At 34.1% G+C, this 19,165-nt stretch overlaps 1 protein-coding gene across 15 annotated transcripts in view; it reads right to left on the bottom strand.

Moving 5' to 3' along the window:
- The window catches only part of ATF7IP (activating transcription factor 7 interacting protein), a 137,249-nt gene that overhangs the window by 80,172 nt on the left and 37,912 nt on the right, over positions 1 to 19,165 (bottom strand). For 2 of the 15 annotated variants that reach the window (NM_001388183.1, NM_001388184.1), the window contains exon 1: positions 4,183 to 4,791. The exons of 10 other annotated variants lie outside the window; for them this stretch is intronic. The gene's annotated coding sequence lies outside the window, so the exon portion shown is untranslated. Of the gene's footprint in view, positions 1 to 3,397; positions 3,546 to 4,182; positions 4,792 to 5,810; positions 5,913 to 14,214; positions 14,270 to 19,165 lie in introns of those variants that run through there. 3 more of the 15 variants (NM_001388181.1, NM_001388182.1, XM_047429148.1) reach the window with 3 other exon arrangements.

Below are 19,165 nucleotides of genomic sequence, written 5' to 3'. Positions count from 1 at the left end.
AGAATATCATTCAACCACAAAGGGGAATGAAGTACTGAACATGCTACTACATGCATAAACCTTAAAAATATGCTGAGTGAGAGAAGCCAGTCACAAAAGGCCACATACTGAATGATTCAATTTATATGAAATGTCCAGAGTAGGCAAATCTAGAGACAGAAAGTAAATCAGTGACTACCTAGGGTTGGAAGATTCTGGAGAAAATGAGGAGTAGCTGCTAAAGGGTACAGGATTTCTTTACAGGGTTATGAAAATGTTCTAACATTGATTATGGTGATGATTATACAGCTCTGTGAATATACTAAAAATAACTGAATTGTACTTTAAGTGGGTGAATAGTAGATATGTGGTTTTATCTCAGTAATGCCACTACAAAAAAATTTCAAAATAAATACAAAGGTTGTGTGTGTGTGTGTGTGTGTGTGTGTGTGTGTGTGTGTGTGTGTATTCTCTTTTTTTGGTAAGTTGTGCTACAGTTTTATCAATTCTATTCACTTATTAAAGTATGAACCTTTACTTGGCTGATATTTCTTGGTTTTATATCTGCTTTCTTGTTTTAATTATTTACTCTAATATTTATTATCTCTTTTCACTTACTTTTTCTTGGAAAGAGCTTAACATGTCATCCTTTTCCTTGAGATTCAAGCTTAAGTGTTATTTTCAATCTTTCTTCTTTTGTAATGTGTGCATATAAAGCTATAAATTTCCCTCTAAGAGCTGCTTTAGTTGCATCTCACATTTTAATGTGTCATTTACATTATTCTGTTAAAATATTTTCTAATTTCCATCATGATTTCTTCTTTCATCTATGACTTATTTAGAAGTAGGTTTCTTAAAAAGGTAATGAATTCTGACCAAGTGAAGCTCGCTTAGAAAAATACAAGGCTGATTTCACATTCAAAAATCAAGCAGTGTTGACCATGAACAAGCCATGATGCATTCTGACTTTATTTCATGCCCAGCAGAGTGTACAATTACGAGTTTTGCCTAAACTGAATGTCTGGTACCAGGATGTTACTGACTGAATTGTGCAGCATCCCACACCCCACATCCCCAGAAAGATATTAGTCTTAAGCCCCAGTACCTCAGAATGTGACCTTATTCGGATAGGGCCTTTACAGTGGTAATCAAGGTAATATAAGGGTACTAAAGTGAGCCCTAATCCAATACAATTGGTGTCCTTATAAAAAGGGGAAAATCTGGACACAGACAGACATGCACACTGGGAGAATGCCATGTGACAATTGAAGTTATGGTACCACAAGCCAAGCAACTACCAGAAGCTAGGAGAGAGGCCTGGAACAGATCCTTCCCTCAGCACCCTCAGAGGGAGAATGGCAATGACAACACCGTGATTTCAAATGTGTTGCCTCCAGAACTCTGAGACGATAAACTTCTGTTAAGCAAAAAAGAAAACCACAAAACAAATCAAGCTATTTAATTCACCACATAAACAGAACAGAGGGACAAAATCAACAAAGGATTACCTCAACAAATACAGAATATTCATTTGACAAAATTCAAGACTGATGCATAATTACAACTTGCCAGAAACTAAGAATACAAGGAAACTTACTCAAATCTGATAAAGGTTATCTACCAAGAAAACTAGAGATATCATGTCTGATATTGAAATAGGATCAGAAGAAAACAAGGATGTTTCCTGTAACCATTTCCTTGTTAACATCTGGCCAGTGCAATAAAGGCAAACAAAAGAGCACAAGGATGTGGTTCTGAAGAAAAACAATGTCATCAATCAATAGTAGAATAAAACAAAATTGCTTTAAGGACTAAGATGTACAGGAGGCAGGAATACTGTTTTCACATTGGATAGTCACTTACCATTACCATCACCAGTAGGAATGATATGGTAGAATACATTTGCTTTGGCCTGAGAAAGAAAGAAAAGCAGCCCCTGATGCCTGGAAACTTAACTGATACTCACAGTTAGGGCTCAATGTTGTTAATGGATCTGATGCTTACAGTTAAGCCATGCTGTTCTCTGGTTGGACATAAAACCAACTCAGAGAACATTCAAGTCAGACAAGGTCACTGTGCAACCCACAAAATTCCAAACATCCCCCCTCACTAAATGAGTGATGGCTATTTCTTTATTTTTTTTTTCTTTTTGAGACGGAGTCTCGCTCTGTCGCCCAGGCTGGAGTGCAGTGGCGTGATCTCGGCTCACCGCAAGCTCCACCTCCTGGGTGCATGCCATTCTCCTACCTCAGCCTTCCGAGTAGCTGGGACCACAGGCGCCCGCCACCACGCCCGGCTAATTTTTTGTATTTTTAGTAGAGATGAGGTTTTACCGTGTTAGCCAGGATGGTCTTGATCTTCTGACCTCGTGATCCACCTGCCTCGGCCTCCCAAAGTGCTGGGATTACAGGTGTGAGCCACCACACCAGGCCAACTTCTTTATCAATTACAGCTTTATCTTGTAATAGTCTGTCCTCCCTATATAGATAAAATTTATTGAGATACCCAAGAATAGAAGTGCCCCCACTTTCTGATGTCACCCAATCCACGATAAGGATCTACTTCCTTAATCTCTCCCCAAAATAACCCAACCTATACTATACTCAAATCCTATACTAGGTTTTTTCTAACATCCTCTTACTGATTGATGTGCCTTACAGTTTCCCCATAGTGAACATTATTTCCTCCCTGCAGCAAATAGTAAACCTAACTTTTTCAATTACAAAGGTGTTCCTGCTGGTCTTTGGCTGAAGCGCATAAAATAATAAGCCTAGCCTACTTGCTGGAAGCCAATTCAGCTTGAGATTCTAGCACTTTGTCAGAGAATTTCTAGACTGTGATACATTCTGTATTCATTCTCTCACTTTAAGCCAATTACTTAGAACATATTTCTTATTCTAGCCATTTTATTTAAATTATATAACTAAATCAACTATTTAGAAAAATTACTCTTCATTTAAACAGAAACCTTAATACAAAATGTATATATAATAATACAAAACCTTAATACAAAATTATACAAAATTTGTATAATATAATACAAAACATTATGTTAAGGGTTTTTAATTACAGACTAAAATTTCACACCTTCAAGGTTTTTCCCTTCCCATCATTACAAAGTTTTGCTAACTGCAAAATTTTCTGCAAAAGATACAGATACAATGCATTGTATTTTGCTGTCACTTTTCCTTACTAATTCCAAAACTACAAAATAATTAAGTTTATAATATAAGTAGTATAGTTACCCTTTAAGTATTTCAAAATACTGAAAGGCCATTCTTTTGAACTTTAGCCTCATAATATCCGCATTTCTCAGATATTAGATGGACAGCTGGTAGTTATTACCAATTGCATTAAAAGTATTCCTTTTAAAAAATTCATAACTTTTAATAACCCAATTAAGAACATGAACTCTTACATTAAAAGTAAGCATTCCTTTAAAAAAATTCATCACTTTTAATAACCCAATTAAGAACATGAACTCTGTAGACTGTAGACAGATTCACAGATTTGAATTCCAACTCTCCCAGGAAACCTACTGTGTGAGACTGGGCAAATTACCTAACATCAATTTCTTAGTTTTGGTTACCTTAAAAAGGGACTAATACCAACACCTGTCACAAAGGTTGCCATGAGAACTAAATGAGATTCTATACATTAAGCACTTGGAATGTAGTAAGAACTCAATAAATGGTATAACCATCACCATCTATATATTCAGGATAACGTTTTTAGGAATAAACTAAATATTCAGGATAATGTTTTTAGGAATAAACTAAAGAGTCTAAGACAAATTCCTCTTTGGTATTTTTTATATAAATTAGAAAATCCAACATGTAAACCTCACAGTTAATATTAAATTGCCACCACCAAATAATATTTAATAAAAATATATAATTCAAGAAAAGTTGATTTTATCAATAAAATTGTCATTAACTTCAGTAATAATAAAGCACTCTAAAAAGAATTATAGAATAACTACCATCCATACCCACAAGGGAGCACACTACAGCCATTTACCAGATCTTATGGGTTCTAAATATAATAAAAAACAGACAAAGCAATAAGGAAGTAACACGAACAATTAGTTCAAACTAGTTCAGCCATATCTGTACAAACCAATCAGCAGTCTGCTTTTAGAAATGTATTTTGCATTAGCGAAGCATATTTGAGAAAGATACACATTAGAGAAGGGTGTGTTACCTGCAAACAAGTTTCCATGGCTGTAATACCAGTGCAAAACACTTCCAAGGATCATTTTAGTACTGTCGCCTAGAACTAAGATGCCATTCATAAAACTATTCTATAAAATAAATGTTAGTATTTTAGGTGGCAACTCAAATCAGAAAGCTTTCACATGACTGTAATTCATTTTCACAGAAAAAAGCATTGGTATTTTACGGCAGAAGATGTCTGCCATGTCTAAAAGTAACTGCAAAACATGATGAACTAGTTTCTCCTGAAAGTATTTTTTTCATGAGGATGAGAGTCAAAATAATGTTTTTTAAGTCTCTGTATATTCAAGAACTCTGGGAAAATAATATCACTAATAAAACCTTTTTCTATAGAAATTTATATTTAAATAACCAGAGAAGGGTATGTTACCTGCAAATAAGTCTCTCTGGCTTGGAAATTTTTTTTTCAAATTTTTGGTAAATTATTTTTAAAATATTTTTAAGGAAAGCCCAACGAGCTTCTTCTTTAAATGAAAACATTACTCTCTTCTCTGCTTCATCCCCCTCCACCCACTTCTTTCTAGCAAGAGATCATAGCAATGAAACAACAAAGGGAAGCTGTTATGTCTTAGCCTACAATCTGCCTGCTCAAAAAGCTCAAGAATTTAAATGGCTGTTCAAGAGCTGCTCACAAACTCAGCCAATCAGCAGCCAGCATTCTGATTCCTGCCCAGCAACAGGAGACAGACAATAAGGTCAGAAAAACATAGTTAAACAAAAACTGTATCTGCAATACTTAAGTGTGGTTCTTTGTTTGAAATAAGTAATCTAGAACACAGTTTACATAAAACCCTAAATCCACGTAACACGCATTAAATATACCACACACATAAATGGATAAGATTTACATCTTTTATGCTATTTGCTTTAATAAATATCCATGAACATTTCAAGAAATATACATTAATATAAATTAATTTCCTACCTGAGGAATAAGTCAAACATGGACAATATACGTAAGAACATATTTTTCTATACAATGCAAAATTCAAATGTAAATTTCTTTTTAAAAATTCCATAGACCATACATATAAAATATATAAATCTAGCAAAACCTTAAATCCAGACAAGTAAAAAAAAAATCTTCATACCCATCTACCACTATTGTTACAGATTTCCGATTCCAAAAATTAATAGTATTCTGGACCCAAAGGATTACTAGGGATAGTATTATGAAGTGTTGTGCTGTCTACTGCACTGAACTGACTTAGTTTAATTCATCTAATGAAATCTAAATGTCTGATTCTGGACAACCTATATTAAGTGGTATAAGTACAATTACTACATCCTTTTCTCCTTAACTGCCTTTCGCAGCAAGTTACAAAAGGTTATATGAGATATCCTTTCAAAGCTTTATTATAAAACAAATGTGTGGATTACAAAGTAAATATTCATGAAAATTAAAGACATTTTTATTATATTACACCATTCTATAGTTCTTTAAATATAGGATTATAAAATAAAAATGGAAAATTTGTTATCAGAATTTTTTTCTCAAATTCACTACTTATTAGGTGTTCTTAATAACCAAGTTTTAAAAATAAACCTCATTTCCCCCCTTCCTTACAGATGAACCTTGTAATTTTTCAAACATACCCAAGAGGGAGCTTGCTGCAGCCATACTCTTAGTTTATATAATCTCCCCACAGGAAAAATATATCAACAGCTGCTTCAATGTTTCAGTCCTGTGAGAGAACTGAAATTCACTGTCTGATTGGCTCAAAGCCGAAATAGTCTAAAACCAATCAGACATCAGTGTCACAAACCTTGCCCAGCAACAAGGGAAGAAGATGAGGGCAAGAGCTCTATTAAAAATGCAAAGGATGTGAAAATCAAGGTGAACAATGAAATGGAAACATTAGGAATATAACTCTAGATGCTCTGTTTGAAAAACAGGTCATGGTAGGGTTTCTTTGATTAAATAAACTAGGGTCTGTACTGCTTTCCAAGAACAGACTTAACTAAGTACCACGATTGTTGGGTCAAAAAGCATATACAACACATAGACAAAACAAATGCTGTATTAATTCAAAGTAATGAATATCTGATGAAGTATACTTCAAAATAAAACTAAAGCAAAAGCTTAGAAAACATCAAGCAAAACCTTTTAAGTGGACATGGCATTTCTATCTTTGACAAAGGCATTCCAATTATATTCATGCTGTTGCCTGAGAGTACAACATTTTTCTGAATAAAAATTTCATTCATTTTTCTACTGAAAATAATTTTAATTTGAGTTTATTTTCATTAAATGGCTGAATTAAATATTAAATAATCACTTTATGCTGATAATTTCTAACCTCTTTAGAAATGCAACTCTGCTATTAGATTCTTTAAGAATCCCATTCTCAGTTGAAAACTGTATGATTTTATTTTACACTTCTAAATTTTGCTTGAGAATTTGCAATACTCTAAAAATAAAATCATAAAGAATAGTGGGTTGCACAAAAGATGCTAATAATCTGCTTTACTGCTTACTGCCCATTAAATAGACTACTGAATCTGTTCACTCACTTTGATACTTATCTGCTCAAATTTAGTATAAAGATTTTGAAATTTTTATTTTAAATACCATGTCCATCAGTATTTGTGGGAGACTGGTCCCAGGACTCCCTACAGATAACAAAATCTGACAATGTTCAAGTCCCTTATATAAAGTAGTGTAGTATTTGCATATAACCTATGCACATATTGCTGTATACTTTAAATTATCTTTAAATTACCTATAATACCCAGTATAACATAAAGGCTATGTAAACAGATGTTACACTGTTGCATTGTCAGCTACGGTTCTCTTAACTGGTATAAAATAACTGTCACTAGCTATCCTGCCATCTTAAAAAAAAAAAAAAACAGTAAGTGGTGAAATCTGTTTATCAAATACTCATAAACTCAGTTGAGTAAGTTATCAAGTGATCATAATATTTGACACTTTCACAAATTAACCCCTCTGCCTGTCACCGACCAAAATGTGGAATGCAATATCCCCAAACTAAATTGTAAAAAATAACCAACCACAAAGGAAACTGGGAGTTTGCTTTACCAACAATTCCCTAGACAAGGTTACCAACAATTCCCCAGACAAGGCAGGAGTAAATCATGTCCTTAAAAGTTTGGTTACATCAAAGCCAGAACTGTCACTACAATCTAACTTCTTGTTGCATTCAGTGCTATGTTTTCAGAAATTTTGGAATGGTCCACATGATAAAAACATAAGATACCTTAAAATTACTTCTCCAAGTCAATTTTTGGGATCATTGTGTTACATGGGCAAAATAAAATTAAATGACCTGATCCAACAAATGCCATTTTAGAATACATAGAGCAAATTACACCCCCTTAGAAAATTGGCCAATTTTCCATCAAGGCCCTACTCACTAGCTTGCCAAACTCTACTATCCCTATGCAGATAAGGAGTGAAGTTACAGAAGGTCTTGTATTTATCTCCACAGGCATTTAAGAAATCATTTGTCCAGAGCTGGGCGCAGTGGCACATACTTGTAATCTCAGCTACTTGGGAGGCTGAGGCAGTGGACTGCTTGAGCCTAAAGGGTAGAGACCAACCTGGGCAGCACAGCAAGACCAGGTCTCATTAAAAAAATAAATAAATAACCAGCAGTAGAAATCATTTGTCCAAACGTACTTTTCACATTTTGCTTGGGTGAAGTAAAACACCCAGAATGAGGTATGAGGAGCTGAAAGATGTAAATCCTTCAAATGCCTGGAAATAACTCTTACTTTTCTTATTAACCCAACCTAAAGAGAAAAGCTGGACAGCTAACTTTCTGTGTCAGTCACCTTTTACTAGATGATAATGCAGCAACAACAATAAAATTTCACTGGCTAATAACTGTATACTTTTTCATTATTCTAGGACACCAGGCTGAAGGAACAGCACCCCCTCACCCCATCTAGGCCTTGTGGCAGAGGTAAAAGACCAATATGACAGAGATATACAGTATACAATAGCTTTTAGCTAGGGTGTCCAAACTTTTGGCTTCTCTAGGCCACAATGAAAGAACTGTCTTGGGTCACACATAAAATACGTTAACGATAGCAGATGAGCTGAAAAACAAAATTTCATAATGTTTTAAGAAAGTTTACAAATTTGTGTTTGGCTACATTCAAAACAGCCCTGGGCTCTATGCAGCCTGTGGGCCCTCGGCAGGACAAGCTTATTTTAAAGCTTTTGCTTAGACATGGTGTACATTACTTTCATTCACATTCCATTGGCTAAAACCAAATTAAGTCACTAAGGGCATGGGAAGTAAAAAACCTCCCAAGGGGAAACACCTCATGTCACATGGCAAAAGGTAGGGACATATAATCCTCTTGCTGTAAAGAAGTATAATTATAAAATATCATGCAAACTATCACACTTTAAAATACACATATTCTAAAAAGCTTGGCATAACAAAAAGACTTCTGAACTAACAAAACTAGGTTCTATTCCATGTTCTAACATTAGTATACAACCACCATAGAATAAATCAATTTAACTCTCTGGAGTTCAGTTTCCTCAACTGTAAAACTGAAGAAGTTAGGGCAGATGCTTGCTAAGTTCCATTCTAGCTCAAGTTTTAGCTATACTGACACATATAATTTTTTATTATGAAATAAAAATAAAGTGCCCTGTACAACACAACAGCTTACTCCTTCTTCTCCATTCTTGACTCCTAAATGCAAAGATAAGCATAATCTTGAATTTGATGTTTATTATTCCCAACCATGCCTTATAAATTCTGCCTTTTATTAACACCTTGAAAAAAAACCCTTTTATTACACACCTTGAAAGGAGAAAAAGAAACTGATGCTTATCGAGGAATAATATATGTGAGTCACTATAACAAAACATATCCTTTTCTCATTAGTTTATGTGATAATTTATATTAATTTCAACTTTACATATGATGTGAATTAATAAATCAATAATTATATTACTATCAATAATTACACAAATAGTAATTTTAACTTGGTAAGGTAAAGCAGACACCCAATTCAGTACCAAGTTGTTTTCTTCAGCACAGGAACCCTTCTTATGCATTTCATCATTTAAGTTTTGGTACCATTTTAATAGAATGTTCAGCAATTGTCTTCTTTATCTCTTTGAAAATGGAGATGCCATTTAAGATCACTGGTAATACCTATCTACTCAGTAAATGAGACCTGAGAGTAGACTCCCTCCCCAATTTCACCAGCCTGCTGACTGCTTCATGTATTAGCTACAAGAGTATTACCAGCAGCTTTCTAAGTATTAAATTATCTCATCCTTAATTTAACATAGCAATTAAGAGCAGAATTCACTCAACCAACTAAGAATAGAAGAGGATTTCCTCAACCTGATAAAGGGCACCAAGGAAAAACCCACAGCTATCATACTTAATGGTCAAAGACTGAAATCTTTCACCCTAAGATCAGAACAAAAGATATCTGCCCTCACCATTTCTAGTCAGCATTGAACTAGAAGTTCTAGCCAGGAGAATTAGGCAAGAAAATGAAATAAAAGTCAAACAACTTTTTGTTTGTTTTTTGAGACATGGTCCCTCTCTGTCACCCAGGCTGCAGTGCACTGGCACAATCTCAGATCACTGTAGCCTCCGCCTCCTGGGTTCAAGTGATTCTCATGCCTCAGCCTCCTGAGTAGCTAGAATTACAGGTGTGAACCACCAAGCCTGGCTAATTTTTGTATTTTTAGTAGAGACGGGGTTTCACCATGTTGGCCAGGCTGGTCTCAAACTGCCAAGCTCAGGTGATCCACCTGCCTCGGCCACCCAAAGTGCTGGGATTACAGGCATGAGCCACCACACCCAGCCACAAGTCATACAACTTAAAAAAAAAAGAAAGAACTATTTTTATTTACAGATAACAAAATCTTGTATATAGAAAATAGTAAGAAATCAACTAAAAATTTATTAGAATAAGAGTTTAACAAAGTTCACTATAATAAGATTAACATATAAAAATCTATTGCATTTCTATACCCTTGAAACAAATGATCCAAAAATAAAACAATCTCATTTAGAGTAATATCAAAAATTAATTTTGCCAAAGAAGTACAAAACTTAATATTCTGAAAACTATAAAATACTATTGAATAAATTAAAGACATAAATAAATAAAAGACGTTCCATACTCATGAATCAAAAGACTCAAATCCTTAAGATGTCAACACTCTTCAAATTAAGCTACAGGTTCAAAACAATCTCTATCAAAATCCTAGCTATTTTCTTTGCAGACACTGGTAAGCTGATCCTAAAATTAATATGAAAATGCAAGGGTCCCAGAACAACCAAAACAATCTTGAAGAAGAAAAATAAACTTGGAGAACTCATACTTTGCATTTTTAAAAGTTATTACAAAGCTACAATAACCTAGACAGTGTGATACTACCAGTAAAATGACAGGTATATCCTTAGGATATATTTTGGAACAGAAATAAACCCTCACTTTTACAGTAAATTGTCTTAGACAAGGGTTACAAGACCATTCAATGGGGAAAGAATAGTATTTTGAACAAAGAGTGTTGGAAAAACTGGATAGCCACATGCAAAAGAATGAAGTTGGAGTCCTATTTCTTGCCTTATACAAAAATTAATTCCTATAAATGAAAGACCTAAATTTAAGAGCTAAAACTAAAATCTTAGAAGGAAACAAAGACATAAAATCTTCATAAATTTGGAACAGGCAATGGTTTCTTAGATATGACCCAAAGAGAAGAAGCAATAAAAGAAGAAGGAAAAAAAAAAAGTTTAACTGAACTTCATCAAAATTAAAACTGTTCGTGCTGCAAAGGAAACCACTAAGAAAGTGAAAAGACAATTCACACAATGGACGAAAATACTTGCAAACCATATACCCAATACGAGACTTGTATCTTGAATATATAAAAACTGTTACAATTCAATAATAAAACACCAAATAACTCCATTTTAAAATGAGCAAAGGACTTAACAGGCATTTCCACAAAAAGGCTTTTTTTTTTCTTTTTCTGTTTTTTTTAAAATTATTATTATACTTTAAGTTCTGGGGTACATGTGCAGAATGTGCAGTTTTGTTACATAGGTATACAAGTGCCATGGTGGTTTGCTGCACCCGTCAACCCGTCACCTACATTAGGTTTTTCTCCTAATGCTATGGCTTTTATAAGCCAATAGTTCATAGGCAGTAAACATCATTAGTCATCAGCAAAATGCAAGTCAAAACCACAATGAGATAACATCTCACACACACCAGGACAGCTATAATCAACAAGAATAATGAGTATTGGCAATGATATGGATAAATTGGAACCTTCAAACAATGCTGGTGGGATTGCAAAAAGGTGCAGCTGCTTTGGAAAACAGGCAGTTCCACAATATGTGAAACACAGAGTTGCCATATGATCCAGCAATTCCATTCCTAGGTATATACCCAAGAGAAATGAAAACATATGTCCACACAAAAACTTGTACACAAATGCTTTATAGAAGCACTACGCATAATGGCCCAAAACTGGAAACAACCTAAATGCCCTGTGACTAATGAATGGATAAATAAAATGTGGTATATCCATACAATAGAGTATCATTCAGCCATAAACGGAATGAAGTACTGTACATGCTACTACATGCATTAACTTTGAAAACATGCTGAGTGAAAGAAGCCAGTCACGAAAGGCCACATAGTGAATGATTCCATTTACGGTATTCCCCCTTATCCATAGAAGATACATTCCCAAACACCCACTGAATGCCTGAAACTGGATAGTACTGAACCTTATATATACTATGTTTTTTCCTATACATACATACATACATACATTTAACTTATAAATTAGGAACAGTAAGAGATTGACAATAACTAATAATAAAATAGAACAATTATAACAATATACTGTTCGTTTCACAGAAGTATAAGATAGTTCTTACTATAGATCTTAGAAACCTCAGCATATGATTCTTTCTTTCCTTTATTAAGTCAAAAATTTTAATCTTTTCACTTAAAGGAAGCACTTTACAGCTTCTCTTTGGCATATCCAAATTGCCAGCATCACTACTCTTGCACGTTGAAGCTGTTACTAAATAAAATAAGGGTGACTTTAAGACAAACATTGTGATACCAGCACAGATCTAATAACCCAGACATCTCCTAAATGACTAATGGGTGGGTAGCGTCTACAGTGTAGATATGCTGGACATACTGGACAAAGGGATGGTTCATATCCTACGTAGGACAGAAGAGAATGGCATGAGATTTCATCACACTACTTAGAACAGTGCCAAATTTAAAACTTATGAATTATTTATTTCTGAAATTTTTCCACTTAATATTACCCACGGTTGACTACAGACAGCTAAAACCACAGAAAACGAAAACTGTGGAGAAGGGGGGACTAATGTATATGAAATGTCCAGAATAGGCAAATCTATATCTATACAGACAGAAAGTGGCTTACCAATTGCCTAGGGTTGGAGGCCTGGGAGGAAATAACGGTTGGCTGCTAAAGGGTACAGGATTTCTTTATAGGGTAATATAAATGTTCAAACATTGATTGTGGTGATTATGCGACTGTGAATATGCTGAAAACCACTGAATTATACACTCAAACAGATGAATTGTATGACATGTGAACTGTATCTCAATAAACTAGATATTTTAAAAAAAATAGCAGAACTTCAGTTGAGTGTTTTTCATTTATTTTTAACCTAAACCCCTTTACTGGGTCACACTTCCAACATGGACAGAACAACTATACCAAGAGAACCGAGTGTTGGTTTATACTTTAGAGCGTTCACATTTTTAGGCCAACAAGTGTATCTGTGATTATATTGGTGGTGAAAGGCAGTATGTGTAAAATAGCAGCAGCCTTGTTCTCTTATGTCCTCATCTTGGATGAGCTCATTACTCTTTTTCCCTGTCCCAAATGGTACATAATTCTACAGTATGCTCATCTTGCAGGATTGCAGTAATGGGCATAAAATACTCACGCAAGATATTTAAAAACAAAAAACAAAAGACAAAGCAGTACTAAGCATGACACAGGTGACCCCTCCAGGAGCAAATATTAATAAAGTCTTCCGCATATGGAAAATTCAATTAACTATCTTTTACCAGAAAGACTAGAAAGTCTTAAGTGAAACAGAAACATTCTCTTTTATTATAAAATGGTACTATAACCAAAAGGCCTTATATGTAATTAATGATGATAAATGTTTTTAAATGAGGTATACTTCTTGAACTTTCTGATGTTACATATGGCTTTGTCACATTTTATCAATATTGTTTTTATTCACATGGCATGTTCTGCCACCATTCTCTGTATTTGCCAATGCTCTGAAGGTATCCTTTTAGAAATTTTTATTATAAATGGACTCTAATACTACATTTATGTATTGTTTAATGGAACACTTTGACATTTTTATCGAGTATCTAGTATAAAATTATTACTTCTTTCAAATTTTAATCTCTGTCAAATCTCAGGGAAAATTAATACATTTTAAGTGTCCAAAGCTTTGATATTAGAAAACATCTTAAATATGCTGATATCATGATGATGTGCTTCTGAGGTCATTTCACAAAAGAAGAAGAATATGAAGTATTCTAGTATAATATTAGTGAACTACGTAGTGTTGAGCACATAGAATACAATTAAGTATTGGCTAAAAGAATGATGCGCTATGTACACGTAACTGACATCTAAAATAATTCCTACATGAAAAAAACTATTCTTTTAGAAAGCAAAGACAATAATCTAGAACATTTTAACAGACTTGTAAACTAGCATGCTGGCATGTTTACATACAAAAAGTAATAAAATATACCCATTTATAAGTTGCCTAATAGAGGCAAAACAGAGCAGCATTAAAATTAATCAAATACACAAGAGAGTCATTTTTCAGCCTTTTATAAAGCTTGCTTAGTTTGATTTCCCATTTCAAAAATAAAATGCCCCTTTAAAAGAAATCTACCTTTGCTTCTTACTACATATTGATGAAAACCCTCTTTAAAATAAAAAACATACCCCAAAGGGAGCCCCCTGCAGCCATCTTATCAGTTCTTTCACAGCAACAGAAACTGAAATACAATTTACATAGTCACTGTGGTTGGCTAATAAAAGCAGCATCATGTAACCAATCAGGAAGATAGAAATTAGACAGCCATAAGAGAAGAAATTTTAAATCTGCCTGGCAACAGCCTAAAAATAGAAACAATATGCTAGCAGGAATCTTAGAATAGATGCGAATATAAAAGCAAAACTTCCAGCAAAAACACTCTATTTTCTTGGAAAAAAATATGTGCCTTGCATTTCATCACCTAAAATATTAACTTGACACCTTTACTTATTAGGTGCCAATTAAAGAAATGAATGTTAAGCTAAATAAATGGGCCACTTTCAAGAAACATGCCACTGTCCATATATATTTGTGTGTGTGTGTGTGTGTGTGTGTGCACATCAATATCTATATATTTAAGTGTTTTTCTATTTACAGGAGAATCATAAAACACTTGAATCACAGTCCTAATACATTAAAGTTTCTCTAAAATCTCAAATTCTAAACAGTACTACATTTTTCCTAGCACTTTTTTTCTGCAAGTTTATGAGTCAATCAGATTTGTTGGTTAAAAAACTGCTTAATATGTATTAAAAATACAAAGCTTAAATAACTTACCAAAGCAGACTTCAAAATAAGGTAGGAAGTATGCCTTATACTTTTTTTAACACAAACTTCTTTCCACAAAAAGTAGTGTCTTATACACAGTAGGCATTCAATAATTATTTTCTCAATTAAGTTAAAATAATTTCTATCAGTTAGAAAAACAAATTATCTTAAGATTGTGTCAAGTAAAAGTTAACCATGCACATAAATAATCTGTACAACACCGCTATTTTTGATTTTTCAACTTTGCCTAAAGTGGAGTAATGTTAAAGTTGACAATACTTGAAATTTCTTACTCCTTTACCCAGATAACAGAATGCATTTCATCATTCTACCTTTCCAGCCTAATAATGCTTAATAGGCATGTCTCTTTGTATAGTACAAATTTATTATGGAGTGGATTTTAATTCCTAAAGATGTCAAACAATGTATAGTCTAATATAACATCATGAAGAGGATTACAGATCAGTAGGAAATAACCAAACCAAACCAAACCAAAAAATAAATAGATAAATAAATAAGAAAGAGAAAACAAAAAGAAAAAAAAAACCTTTTAATTTCAAGAATTTAAATTACAGTTGCTGAAATGAATGGCTGGTTTGACAGCCAAGTCATGTTAAAACCAATGCTATTTATTAATGTACTTGTTCTATGCATTTCTTATATGAAACCATCCAGTAGTGTGTTTTGATGAAATGACAAATTAATTTTAAAATGTTTCTTTGGTCACTACTTGTTATCCAAAATGCAAAATGAATTCATATATTTGACACTACGAAAGCCTAAACACTTAATATAAAAATTATATGTAGAGGACTTATTTTAATCATGAACTAAAGATTAGAAACAATGCCTTTAAAACATATAGGAACACAGAACCATTTTAAGTAACAAAAGCTCCATTGGAGGAAGGGTAAAAATTATACGAGTAATCCACCAACTGAGGCTCTTTTTAACCAAATATTTAACAGTGGTTAGATTTTTAAATGAAATTTAACCAAGCTTTTAAAAACACTGTCCGGGCATGGTGGCTCACGCCTGTAATCCTAGCACTTTGGGAGGCTGAGGTGGGTGGATCACAATGTCAGGAGTTCAAGACCAGCCTGGGAAAGATGGTAAAACCCTGTCTCTACTAAAAATACAAAAAGTCAGCCAGGCGTGGTGGCAGTGAGCTGAGATCATGCCATTGCACTACAGCCTGGGCAAAAGAGCGAGACTCCATCTCAAAAAAAAAAAAAAAAACCCATAAATACTGTTATTTTAAACACTGGTCTACATGAAAAGTAGCTTAGCTTATTTTACTTTTTTTTTTTTTAAATGTTACATTCATATGCAACAGATATCCAAAATTTAACCACAATTATATTTATATCTAAAATATCTTAAAATAGTTCTTAACTTATACTGTTATCCTCATTGCAAGGAAAGCAATATTAATAAACCTATGAGTCACAACTAGTGAAAAGAGTATATCACAAACATATCAGATTTTGTTAATAAAGCACTACAGGCCAGGCGCGGTGGCTCTCGCCAGTAATCCCAGCACTTTGGGAGGCTAAGGCAGGTGGATCACATGAGGCTGGGAGTTCGACACCAGCCTGGCCAACATGGCGAAACCCCAACTCTACTAAAAATACAGCAATCAGCCAGGCGTGGTGGCAGACATCTGTAGCCCCAGCTACTCAGAAGGCTGAGGCAGGAGAATCACTTGAACCCAGGAGGCTGAGGTTGCAGTGAGCTGACATCACGCCACTGCACTCCACCTGGGCAATAAAGCGAGACTCCATCTCAAAAAATAAAAAAACAAAGCAATACAAGTGAGAACATTTAATAATCCCATATATCAAATATCACTTTAAACATGTCTTGGAATTTCACATTTTCTTTATTAAATTAGTTTTAATGCTTTTAAAATAATTTTTGCTCATACTGGCCAGTTTTGTTTCAAGAAAAGCAAGAAGACATGATGCTTGCAAAACATTATTCAAAGCAGTTACACATCACATACCAATCAAAATTTGAGGGAAACTGAATAACCAAGGCACCTTAGAACAATTAGTATAGCAACTAAAATGCCTTAGAATAGTTTAGAGAGTTCCAGGAACTTCACCCTGGATCTCTATCTTATTCCTCTTCTCTTCCAACTGCCCTACTAAAAACCCACAGGAGTTTAAAGTGGCAGCTGAGATGTCTGGGTGCAGTGGCTCACGCCTATAATCCCAACACTTTGGGAGGCTGAGGTGGGAAGACTGCTTGAGGCACCAGAAGTTCAAGATGAGCCTGGACAACATAGTGAGACCCTGTCTCAACAAAAAAAATTTAAAAATTTGCAGGGTGTGGTGGTGCACACCTGTGGTCCCAGCTACTCCGGAGGCTGAGGTGGGAGGATCACTTGAGCCTGAGAGGTCAAGGTCATAGTGAGCCATGATTGTGCCACTGCACTTCAGCCTGGGCCACAGAGTGAGATCCTGTCACAAAAAAAAAAAAAAAAAAAAAAAAAAAAAGATGAAAGAAAAAAGACCCTAAATCCTCTTCCATATTATGGAGGAAATTCAAATTCCTCTTTGTACCAACTATTTATCTTCTATAGCAGAGCAAGATTGCTGGTTATCCCTCTTTGTAGATCTAATTAAAATTATTTTTTATCACAAATTTTCCAGCCAATTCTATTTATAATTCTACATCTTCCTTCAGTTAAACCTTTCAAAGAAACTTACACTTTTGATAGCAAGATCTCTACTACTGGGCATACAACAAAGAATGAACCAGCACCTCCACTGGCAGCAAAAGAAAAAATTACATTTCCACTCTAAATTTTTCCTAGCAACAATGCCTAAGAATACAATCTACTTGTTTCTGGCAAATGTCTGCAATCGACTTAGTTTCATAGGATGGGCTGTTAAAAGCGATTAAAAAAAGTTTAATATATTTTAAGAAAGCACAGAGTTCTTTACCCAAAACCAAGAATTGCCACTTAGTTTCATCTTTTGGAACCTGAAAAAAAATCTGTAGAGTTCTGACCAAAAATTCTATACTTTGGAAACTCTCTTAACCTCCTAATCATCATATCAAATAAGCCAGTGGTCTCCATCCATTCTACAAATTTATTGACTGATACCCATGGTCTTCTGCTCTCAACTAAACCTGTTCATGTAAGTTGTGTTTGTTACTAAGTTGTACATTTTTTAATAAATTACAGAATTTAAATTTTGTGTAAACTGATGAAATATGAGTGCAAAAAAAAAGAGAGTTGTGAAATATGTAACAGTAAGAGAGACCAATGCAAAAAAACCAAATATACATACACACACCAGGGTATGACAGATCTTAGGCAAATCATTTAACATCGTTAGGTCTAAAGCTTTCCATGTGAAATATAAGGAAATTAAATCAGAAGACCTTAAAGAACCTTTCAGGTTTTTTGCTGATAACATTTTAATAAAGTGTACTTAAAAATGTACTGTTTAAGCAATAATAAAGATAGGTTGATTTACTCATGTATTCAATATTCATCAAATGCCTGTGGTCATGATTATAGGACAATTTTTAAGCCACTCTAAAGAAATGATGTGATGAAAAGTACAAGAACATAATCTAATAAAGTGTTCCTGTATGTAGATTTTAATGTAAATGTGGAAGATAAATACAGCAGTAATACAATATATGGATATTTTTCTACATGTATGACCATGAAAATTAGAAGTTCTGTTCTCTAGTTTCCATGAACTGCCTTGTCTCCATTATAGACTGTTTAGCACTGGAAAAAAAAAAAAAAGCTTACAAATGTGTAATTACAAAGATGCCCATATTGTCTTCCTGATAGGGTTAGTATTACCAATGTTTATGAGCCAGATTTCTGAAAACTGACTCTGCATTTAAAAAAAAAAATCACTCAAATTCAAGTGAGACGGGGGAAAAAAGAGTATGCCTTTCTTTCCAATCTCAATTTCAATTGCACTTCTGCTCATAACCCTATTTATAATTCAGTTATAGCCACAAGACTTCACAAGTAGTTGCTAAGCAACAGCAGCATGCTGAGTTCAGGGCTATTGGAAATCTGGCTCTCTGCCACATGAAAATATTTAACTGAGCCTAGAGCCTCCAGAATTAAAAAAAATAAAAAGGAGGAGGTGGAGAGAGAGAAGCAGGGGAGAAAAATTCCAAGGAAATTCAGTGATAAATGCAGTAAGCCACCAAGTACATATAACTAAGCTCTTTTGGAGGGTTCACAAATGCAGATCTAGCACCTTATTTTGGCATTTCCAAATACCATATTTCTCTTCTAAATTTTTAATCATCTTTTCTACTGTTGAC

This window comes from Homo sapiens, chromosome 12, assembly GCF_000001405.40.
Source record: "Homo sapiens chromosome 12, GRCh38.p14 Primary Assembly".
In the NCBI taxonomy this organism is placed as follows: Eukaryota; Metazoa; Chordata; class Mammalia; order Primates; family Hominidae; genus Homo; species Homo sapiens.
Note: the sequence above shows the minus strand (reverse complement) of the source record. Positions and strands in the feature narration are given on the sequence as shown.